Source organism: Homo sapiens, chromosome 10 (assembly GCF_000001405.40).
Source record: "Homo sapiens chromosome 10, GRCh38.p14 Primary Assembly".
Classification (NCBI taxonomy): Eukaryota; Metazoa; Chordata; class Mammalia; order Primates; family Hominidae; genus Homo; species Homo sapiens.
In genome coordinates, this window is record NC_000010.11 from 73,423,460 (window position 1) to 73,433,826 (window position 10,367).

The window sequence follows — 10,367 nt, forward strand, 5'->3', positions numbered from 1 at the left end:
GTGGCAGACCCAGAGAACTGATGCTAATTACTCTGTTGGCAAGAGAGAAACTTCCAGTCTTGAGGTGTTATGTGCAGATGAGTAATACTTGCCAGTGAATAGGAAATAAAACAAGTGACTTAAGAAGCCCCAAACTGAGTTTATTGGGGTATAGAATGGGGGATAATAAGTAACTCCAGTATATTCAGGTAAAGTCTGATATAGCTTGGGATATCTAAAATATAACACCAGGGCTACTCTAGGGTCAAAAGTCCCCAAGAGAAAACAGGAAAAGTAGACATTTCTCTCAAAAAAGTCAGGAAACAGGACACTGTACCAATGCTTACAACCTCATCCATGTTCCCAATGACTTCCCTGACTTGTCCATTCTTGCATCACTTCAAGTCATCAACATCTTTCCATTTTTTAGCCCAAATTACTGGATGAGAAGAAAGTCTTTTTCAGAAGAATAAGGTGGTTCTCATTCTTTTTCTCAGTGCCATCTGGTTCCAGTCAAAAGGTAAACTTCTTTACAAAGAAAAGTGTTAGCAACTATAAGCTCTGGAAAGACCAGCATCAGGGCCTCTTCCCACCCACTAAATCTAATTTCCTATCTCTAGAAGCTACTGTGGCTAAACTCTTAGAAACCAGTTACATTGGCTGGGCATGGTGGCTCATGCCTGTAATCCCAGAACTTTGGGAGGCTGAGGCAGGCAGATCACCTGGGGTCAAGGGTTTGATACGAGCCTGGCCAACATGGTGAAACCCTGTCTGCTAAAAATACAAAAATTAGCCAGGTGTGGTGGTGTGCACCTGTAATCCCAGCTACTAGGGAGGCTGAGGCAGGAGAACCACTTGAACCCAGGAGGCGGAGGCTGCAGTGAGTCGAGATCATGCCGCTGCACTCCAGCCTGGGCAACAGAGCAAGACTCCATCTCAAAAAAAGAAAGAAACCAGTTATGTTATACAGAAACTCTCATTCAGCTTAGAATTTTTACCCAAACAGTAAATGAGGTTTAGAATATAATGTTTTTCAAAGTTTGCAAGAACCTGGCATTAGCAGGGTAATTTCATCACAAACTCCCCGTTTTCCAGATGTCCAGTTATGATCTATTTAAATCCCGCCGTCCACTTTCTCTTCTAATTGCCTATTATCCAGCTGACAGGAGCTTCCAAGAAACATGATATAGTATGCACTGCAGTATACTGGCTGCTTGTTGGGACTGGAATAGACCTGTTCAGGTTTGAGGGACATGAAAGGATTAGACCCAAAGGCAGTGATGTGTGTATCCAGTTCCACCAGAATCTGCAAAGAGGATACCAACTCCTGATGGCTGTAGAAGAGAGAGAAGAAAAATTACTCTACTGATTGTGACAGAGATAAAGGAAAAACTGCCCAAGAGCCTGACATTTCTGTAATCACCCATCCCCCAAATTGCCTAAGGCTGGACTAGGCAAGGGCTATCTTTCCCTCCCAAATGTCTCATTAAATATTCCATTAACTAGCAAAGGACTGTTCCAAGGGGATAAAAAAGCCATATGCGGAAAAGAACATCCTCACCAGAAGGTAGATGAGCAAGAGGGGGGCAAAAATGAGCTCATCTATATAAAGAGAGATGTAAAGTCAGGGAAGTATCACAAATAGGATGAGGTCAAAACCTGTAAACAGTAATCAATGTAGGAATCTTATAGTCACGAAGTAGCAGCAGGGTGGGCAGCCAAGCCTCCATCAAGTCTGGGGAGGAATGAAAACCTGTGGAACAAAAATGAAAATGGGAATAGGGAAAGACTAAAGCAGACCCTAAGAGCAAGATATTTCTTTGACTGTGAGCACCCCACCCCTCACCTTGCTTATCCCCAGTCATTATCATCATCATCATCATCCACTCTTCAATGAAAAATTCTGAACCCAAGTGTAGTACATATGGCAAATTATCAAGAAAAGTTGTCATCAGGCTGGGCGCGGTGGCTCACGCCTGTAATCCCAGCACTTTGGGAGGCAGAGGCGGGCGGATCATAAGGTCAGGAGATCGAGATCATCGTGGCTAACACAGTGAAACCCCGCCTCTACTAAAAATACAAAAAATTAGCCAGGCGCCTGTAGTCCCAGCTACTCGGGAGGCTGAGGCAGGAGAATGGCGTGAACCCGGGAGGTGGAGCTTGCAGTGAGCCGAGATCGCGCCACTGCACTCCAGCCTGGGCGACAGAGCGAGACTCCGTCTCAAAAAAAAAAAAAGAAAAAAAAAAAAAGAAAAGTTGTCATCATATTGTGTTTAATGAGACCAAATGAATGGGGTTCCAAAGACAGAAGATTCAGGATGGAAAATTCTCAGGGGAGCCACCCTCTATTCCCCTGAACCAATGACTCTTACCTGGATGGAATGCCGCCACCAAATCTGGATGGTGTGTCTGCCCGGTCTCTACTTGCTCCTCCCAGAAGTCATGGTAGAGGCCCCTGTGGGCACTAAGCTGAATTGTGCCAGGTTCCAGGGGTGAAGTTGAGGTGCTCTGTGAAAAGCCAGTAGCTACATCTACACCCACCATGACCACACGGAGTCCAAGGTGCCCAGGAAACATGTAACCAAGCTCATCATAGTCCCCTGGGCGAGTAAGAAATGTCTCCACATGGGAAGCACCAACCACATGCACTGTGCTTCCCCCAGTCCTCCTAACATCTATCCCCAAGGCCCTAAGTCCTAGGCCTAGAGTCAAGGGCCGTGACAGGACATCTGTCAGCAGCCGCTTCAAAGATCCCTGCAGGACATCCGGGTCTGGCCTTGGCCGTCCTACACTGGCCCATAAGGTGGTCACAGCATGACTAACTAGCACAGCATCCAATGTAGCATCTAGGTGTAACCCCTTCATAGAAAACCAGGAGTCCCAGTCCTGTACAGCTTCAGGTGGCCATGGCCAAGGTCCTGAGGGTAGAACAAAATCACCTGTAGGAAAGAAGAAATAAGAAGTAACCTAATGCTTTCCTGGCTTCAAAATTTCCCCCTCACTAATGATCAATATTCCCTCCATGTTCACTCTGCCAACCTGTGAGCAGGCGTGCCCCATCCTTTGCCCCACTTCCTCATTTTTTCATAACAATATGATTTTGTATCTTCCTTTAAATGCAATCAACTATGACCATTATGGCAGAGATCCTCAACACCACCACTCCACCTGTGACCAGAAGCCATTCCATGAGACGGTCCACAGCCACAAGACGAAGCTCTTGACAAACCCTCCTGTGTGCGGGCCAGTCTGACTTCTGGCACTCTGGACCACAGTAATAGACATTTCTGCACCTGAGAGAATGAGAGAGAAATAGTTCTTATACTATAAATATGATTGGGGTTATCGGAGGAAAGGAACTGATATTCCTGCACCTAGGATGGTGAATGGGTAAGGAAGGTAGGGAGAGGAATGAGAGCTGATGCACCAATTTTGGGGACTACATTTGGCAGACAAGGCAGGAGGGATTGGGAATATAATTATTCTGCCAGACAGAGTGATACCTTACTCTCTATCTGGAACAACTCACTTTTTATATCACTTTTAGAAAAAACACCACGAGTTTGCAGCTGTCCTCTCATAACAGGTATGGTTCAACCTCCACCTCCCCAGAACAAATGTAGTCTTACTCCTTGAGTACTCAAGAGAGAGACAGAGAGGATTGTATTGTGGTTTCTTGTCTCACTTCCCAATAACACCAAAAATAAGCAGGATTAGAACACTGTTCTAATCTCTGTAGCCTGGGTGACAAAAAATGAGGACCTAAGTCTTAGGTTATTTTGAAAACTTTCAGATCTTTCCTCTTGGAATGAGGTTGTAGTAGAAGGTCATTGCTTTTTTTTTTTTTTTTTTTTTTTTGAGACAGAGTCTCGCTCTGTCATCCAGGCTGGAGTGCAGTGTGCAATCTTGGCTCACTGCAACCTCTGCCTCCTGGGTTCAAGCAATTCTCCCACCTCAGCCTCTCGAGTAGCTGAGACTACAGGTGTGTGCCACCACACCAGGCTAATTTTTGTATTTTTAGTAGAGACAGGGTTTTGCTGTGTTGGCCAGGTTGGCCTCATGTGATCCACCTGCCTCGGCCTCCCAAGGTGCTGGAATTACAGGCATGAGTCATCATGCCCGGCTAATACAGGATCATTTCTGAATGTCTCCCTATTAGCCCCCAACAAGTCACCTCTTACAGTGCCGGAGAACCTTGGAGTCTGAAAGCCCACTAGGGAGTGCTCTACAGTGAGCACAGAATCGAAATGTGTCTTCCATCCTCTGGAACATTTCTTGAGGACATCGAAATCCAAAGCCTGATACGGGGGTACCCCCATCTACCACCAACCTGCAGAGACAGCATGGAGAAGGAATGACAATGGGGAAAGGAATATCTCCAAAATCTCTCATGCCCCCCATCTTGTCTCCTACACATTTCCACTTACTCCTATGTCTCCCACTGCCATCATTTTTCACTTAAGTGAATGTTTCTTCTTTTATAGTAATATAGTAACTGGCAAAAGGATGAGAAAATCTCTTATTGCAAATACTCCATATTCACCAAACTGTACTCCCTCTCCACCTTCTGAAATTTACTTCTACCAGAGACAATATATCCCTTTTCCATAGAGCTGGTCACTCACTTATATTCTTCATAGCTTTTCATGTTCAGCTTTTGAAGGATCAGCTGCGATAGGCCAGGAACATTATCATCCAAGGAGAAGAAGCCAAGTGTGTCAATGCTAGGGCCAGGTTTTGAGGGGGTCAGAGGCACAGGGGTCACAATTGTGGTTGGGGCCATGATGATGGGAGCCACTGATGAGGGAGGTTTCTTGTGCCTTCGTCGCCGGGACCGTGGAGCCATGGCCTGTCCAGTGATACCTGGAGATTATATGCAGAATAGACATGGAATGGAATTTTACAAGCTGGACACTTGTGAAGTATTTTCATATGCTTGACCTTTCATTTCTCATTCCAGTCTCTCAGACCCAGGTTATCAGTAAGATTTATTCAGTATTTACTGGTTATTGATCACCATAGGCAGCTGTGGAAAATAGGGAAGAAGTAATTTGTTGTTGTTGTTGTTTTTTGAGACAGAGTCTTGCTCTGCCGCCCAGGCTGGAGTACAGCAGCATAATCTCAGCTCACTCCACCTCCTAGGTTCAAGCGATTCTCCTGCCTCAGCCTCCCGAGTAGCTGGGACTACGGGCAGGCGCCACCAGGCCCGGCTAATTTTTGTATTTTTTAGTAGAGATGGGGTTTCACCATGTTGGTCAGGCTGGTCTCAAACTCCTGACCTCAGGTGATCCACCCACCTTGGCCTCCCAAAATGCCAGGATTACAGGCTTGAGCCACCGCACCCAGCCAAGAAGAAGTAATTTTATATGAATATAATTTACACATAGTAAGTCCTATACATTATATATATATATACACACACATATATATATATAAGTAAATGCATCAAAAAAGATTTGGCAGGGCCCATAGAAAACTGGTAACAGCTGGGCGTGGTGGCTCACGCCTGTAATCCCAGCACTTTGGGAGGCTGAGGCGGGCGGATCACCTGAGGTCAGGAGTTCAAGACCAGCCTGGCCAACATGGTGAAACCCCATCTGTACTAAAAATACAAAAAATTAGCTGGACGTGGTGGTGGGTGCCTATAATCCCAGCTACTTGGGAGGCTGAGGCAGGAGAACTGCTTGAACCCAGGAGGCGGAGGTTGCGGTGAGCCGAGATCGCACCATTGCACTCCAGCCTGGGCAACAAGAGCAAAACTCTGTCTCAAAAAAAAAAGAAAACTGGTAACAGTGATTAACTCTGAATAGTTTAAGAAGGCAGTTAAATAGGAACTGGGCTGATCAAATGGAACTGTATACTTACCTGTAATGTTTGACTTTTTTAATAAGGAGAAAATATTAATATAGCTTTAATGTATTTTAAAACTCAATTTAAAAGAAGAAAAAGCAATAGAAGTTTTAATTCTCCAAAGTGACCATCCAATTGGAGAGTTAGACAGTTTAATATAGAGAGATAAAACATTTATTTTGAAAGACCTATTATCACATGTATAAGCAATAAGCCAAGAAGTAAAAATTAAATGTAATACAAAACGTGCACTAAGAGTTATGTAGTCAAGCAAGTCAGAAAAATTTCCTAAAGTGGTAAGTTTTGAGGTAGAAGTAAGCCTACACTCAGTCACGATCTGGCTGTGACTCTGTGCTGTCCTCTTTCCCTGTCTCATCTTCTGCCATGCCTTCCATAAGAGCTGAGTAAACAGAAAGGACCATATGAGAAAAATTAAAATGTCCATTCATGTAATATATATTTACTGATAAACAGATGAAATCATTTGCGAAACACTATATATAGAAGCAAATATGAGAAATATATATCTAAATGTCTTGCAGGGAGATTAGATGTAGACTATAAGGTACTATATAAATCCAACCAGAAAAGTGCAACTAAAGCACTAATGGGAGATCAGAAGAAGAAAATCTCTTCAGTGGGCGAGAATCTCTTCAGTGGCTTTCTTCATGAAGCAGGTGGCAGTTGGAATAGACCTTGAAAGATGGGAATACTTTGAATACTTGGAAATAGGGAAAAAATAAATTCTAAGCACAGAGGAGAGAATAAACACAGAAATATAGACAGAAACATTCTGCAAATTAATGAAATAGAATGACTCGAGTTTGAATGTTTAAAGTATAAAGACCTAAACTTAAGAAGTAAAACTATAAAAGTCTATGGGGAAAGGTTCATGACATAGGTTTGGCAATAATTTCTAGGATATGACACCAAAAGCACAGGCAACACCACCACCACCAAAATAGATAAATTGGACAGCAAAATTAAAAACTTTTGTGCATCAAAGGATGCTAAACTAACAACAGAGTCAAATGACACCCCAAGAATGGAAGAAAATATTTGCACACCATATATCTGATAAGGGGTTAGTATTCAAAATATATAAAGAATTCCCACAACTCAATAACAAACAAAAAAACCACCAAACAACCCAACTAAAAAATTGGGCATAACATGTGAATAGGCATTTTCCCAAAGAATATATGCAAATGGACAATAAACACAAGAAAATATGCTCAATAGTCATTAGGAAAATGCAAATCAGAACCACAGTGAGATATTACTTCATACCCACTAGTATGGCTATTATAAAAAAAAAAAACAGAAAATGACAAGTGTTGATGAGGATATGGAGTAATTTGAACCCTCGTACACTGCAGGTGAGAATGTAAAATGGTGCCACCACCATAGAAAACAGTACGGCAGTTCCCCAAAAAGTTAACATAATATTACTATATAACCAGAAATTTCATTCTTAGGTATGTGCCCAAAATATTTAAAAACAGATACTCAAACAAATACTTATATGTGAATGTTCATAGCAGCACTATTCGCAACAGCTAAAAGGTAGAAACAACCCAAAGGTCCATCAATGGATAAATGGATAAACAAATTGGGATATAAATATACATATGAAGATGTATATTATTCAGCTATAAAAAGAAATGAAATACTGATACACGCTACAATGTAGAGGAACTTCAAAAAACATTATACTAAGTGAAGAAAGCCAGACACAAAATGTTGTATACATGTTGTATGATGCCATTTCTATGAAATATCCAGAATAGGTAAACCCAGAGACAGAAAGCAGATTGGTAGTTGCTAAGGGCTGGGTGGAAGGGAAAATGGGGAGTAACTGCTTAATGGTTATGGGGTCTTCTTTTGGGGTGATAAAAATGTTTTGGAACAAGACAAAATTGATGGTTGAACAATACCGTGAATACACTAAATGCCATTTAATTGCTCACTTTAAAATTATTAATTTTATGTTATATGATTTTCACTTCGATTAAAAAAGAAAGGAAGGAAGGTATTCATAGAGATTGAGAGGCTAAAAAGTTATTAATCCCCAGATTGTCTTCAGGTACAGAGAAATAACAGAGGATTAAAAACGCTGGCAGTGTGAATGAGGAAACTGTTAAAGTTCAAACCAGGGATCATGTTTTGTTACAAAAATGATCTGACATTTGATCCTTCTAGATCAGATCTGTTAGGAAAAACCTCAGAATCATCATGCAGCTGAGGTGTATGCAGGTGGCAAAAATAAACAAAAAGCTCCCAGAATTATCCAGCTCATATCCATATCTTACAACATGACTCTTAAAAACCTGTCCTCAGGTTAATGGAGGAACAAATTTGTATTTTCCTTTGTACTTTCTATCTCCTCATCCTTATGTTTCCATCCACCCTCTTAATGTCTCCCCTTATCCCATGGGTGAATGGATGGTTTCAGTCCACAGAACAGAAATAGTCAAGCTCATCTGTATACCATATCCTATATATTACCTTCAATGAAGAAATTGGACCTAATGATATTAGATTATCTTAGGGTTTAAGGGTCATGTCCTTTTACCAAAAGAGTAAATGGAATTGCCCTTCACACTTTAGGGCCCAATTTCCAACAACTAACCTCATTCTGTCCTCCACTTTTAATCACCTCACATTCTCATTGCATTTTCAGAATCACTGCCATTCTACAAAAAGCATTTATCTACTCTACCCACCTGCCTCAGGCAAGATAACATTTTCTTTTTCTTTCTTTCTTTGAGACAGAGTCTCACTCTGTCACCCAGGCTGGAGTGCAGTGGTGCGATCTTGGCTCACTGCAACCTCCACCTCCCGGGTTCAAGTGATTCTCCTGCCTCAGCCTCCTGAGTAGCTGGGATTACAGGCTCGCGCCACCATGCCCAGCTAATTTTTGTATTTTTAGTAGAGATGGGGTTTCACCATGTTGGTCAGGCTGGTCTCGAACTCCTGACCTCGTGATCCACCCACCTCGACCTCCCAAAGTGCTGGGATTACAGGCATGAGCCACGGCGCCCGGCCAAGACACCACTTTCTTAAACCTTGAAAGAATGACTTTTTTTTTTTTAAATAGGTATGGAAGGAAAGTGTGATTTGAGACAACTCTAGGGTCTTAAATCCCAGAATTTATAATAGATATCTCCCTGAAGTTAAAACATAAGCCTTTTTGCTGCAATGGAAGCAAGCCACTTAAGGTCAGAAAGGTACTGCTTTACTTTTCCGCATTTCCAAGGTGAGGTCTTCCTCTAAAGGAAGATTAGCTCTTGGCAATCTGGGAGTTGGCTGAACTGGTCAGAAAGCAAAAGGATCACACAGTTTGAGGAAGAGGAGTGGTGGTAAAAATCCCTAATGTCACAGTCTCCTCTGTGTCTAGAGCACAATGTTCATGATACAAATGAGTTAGCTTTCTGGCAGAAAAGAAAGAAGGTGGGTGAGAAGCCAGGTCTTTGATCTGCATCTATATACATCATCAGGTTCATGTTTGAGTTTATATACCCCAGGCCCAGACACAGCTTCCCTGGTTCTAAATCTCCTGTAAAGAGCCCCAGGCTACTCCCTGTTCACAGGTTATAAACTGAGAGAAACAAAGGAAAAAACAGGGGACTCACAGGAGAAGCTGGAAAGAATTGCAGTAAGCTCTTTGAACTTTCCAGAGTCTAGAATGCTCTCCACTTAGAAAGGGAATCCCTTTCATTTTTTTCTAGCCATCCCCAGTGACTTAGGCTCTAATTTAGTCCCAGTATAAGAGAGAGAACACCAACACCAAGAACTGGAGAGGAGACATGATCTTGATTGCCTAGAAAAACTTTTATCCTTCATGTCCAAATTCAAGACAAAATATTAATCTATTCCTAGACCTAGGTTTCCCATCTTCTTCTTTACCACCAAGAGTCCCAAGTTTCACCTAAACTACAGTCATATTTTCACTATCTCCAGATAAGGAGTGCTCATCTAATTTTCTGTAAGTCACCAAAAAATGCAAAACGTCTTTGGAGAGGTAGGGAGAAGGAAGACTGAAACTGGTCATTGGAGATCCTTATAAGGGGGTAGGAAAAGAGAAGGAGAAATACATTAAGGACACTGTAATTATGGCCACATTCAGCTGTTTAATCAGTGATTAACACTGCCTGGGGTGATAAATACTTTACTCAATTATAAACTAAGCAAGCAGACAGGTTGACGGAAAAAAAAACTTACCCTGCTAAGTCCTCAGCTTCCTTCCTTCTCTCTTTCCTCCAAGTGAAATGAGTGCTTGATCTCTTCAGATCTAGGTTGTGGCTTACTTGCAGCTGTCCCTTCATATCACTTTCCTTTGCAAACTGCTGAAATGCTGAGTCTCAGTGATTAAGTGTGCCCTGCCAACCAGACAGACAAGGCTGAATTCTCCCTAATGAGGCAAAGAGGGATCTGTCCCCCTGCCTGAGGGCTTCTCTCTAACCTTTGTTCTCTGCCAAGGGGGCTCAGGACTGTCAACACTCCCAAGTGTTAGCCAAGTAAAGGCCAGGCAGGCT

At 42.4% G+C, this 10,367-nt stretch overlaps 1 protein-coding gene across 2 annotated transcripts; it reads right to left on the reverse strand.

Annotated features, from left to right (window-relative positions):
- Nucleotides 1-119: 119 nt before the first annotated feature.
- On the reverse strand, nt 120-10,102 carry MSS51 (MSS51 mitochondrial translational activator). Of its 2 annotated transcripts, NM_001024593.2 has the most exons (7): nt 10,054-10,102; nt 4,605-4,842; nt 4,154-4,309; nt 3,148-3,272; nt 2,352-2,918; nt 1,639-1,732; nt 120-1,313 (listed from the first exon to the last, which is right to left on the reverse strand). In NM_001024593.2, exons 2-7 carry the CDS (start codon nt 4,823-4,825, stop codon nt 1,094-1,096), a joined length of 1,383 nt encoding a protein of 460 aa, NP_001019764.1. In that variant the 5' UTR covers nt 4,826-4,842; nt 10,054-10,102; the 3' UTR covers nt 120-1,093. The 2 variants fall into 2 exon arrangements, with proteins under 2 accessions (NP_001019764.1, XP_047280506.1); XM_047424550.1 differs by having other exon boundaries at nt 4,605-10,102.
- Nucleotides 10,103-10,367: the final 265 nt, after the last annotated feature.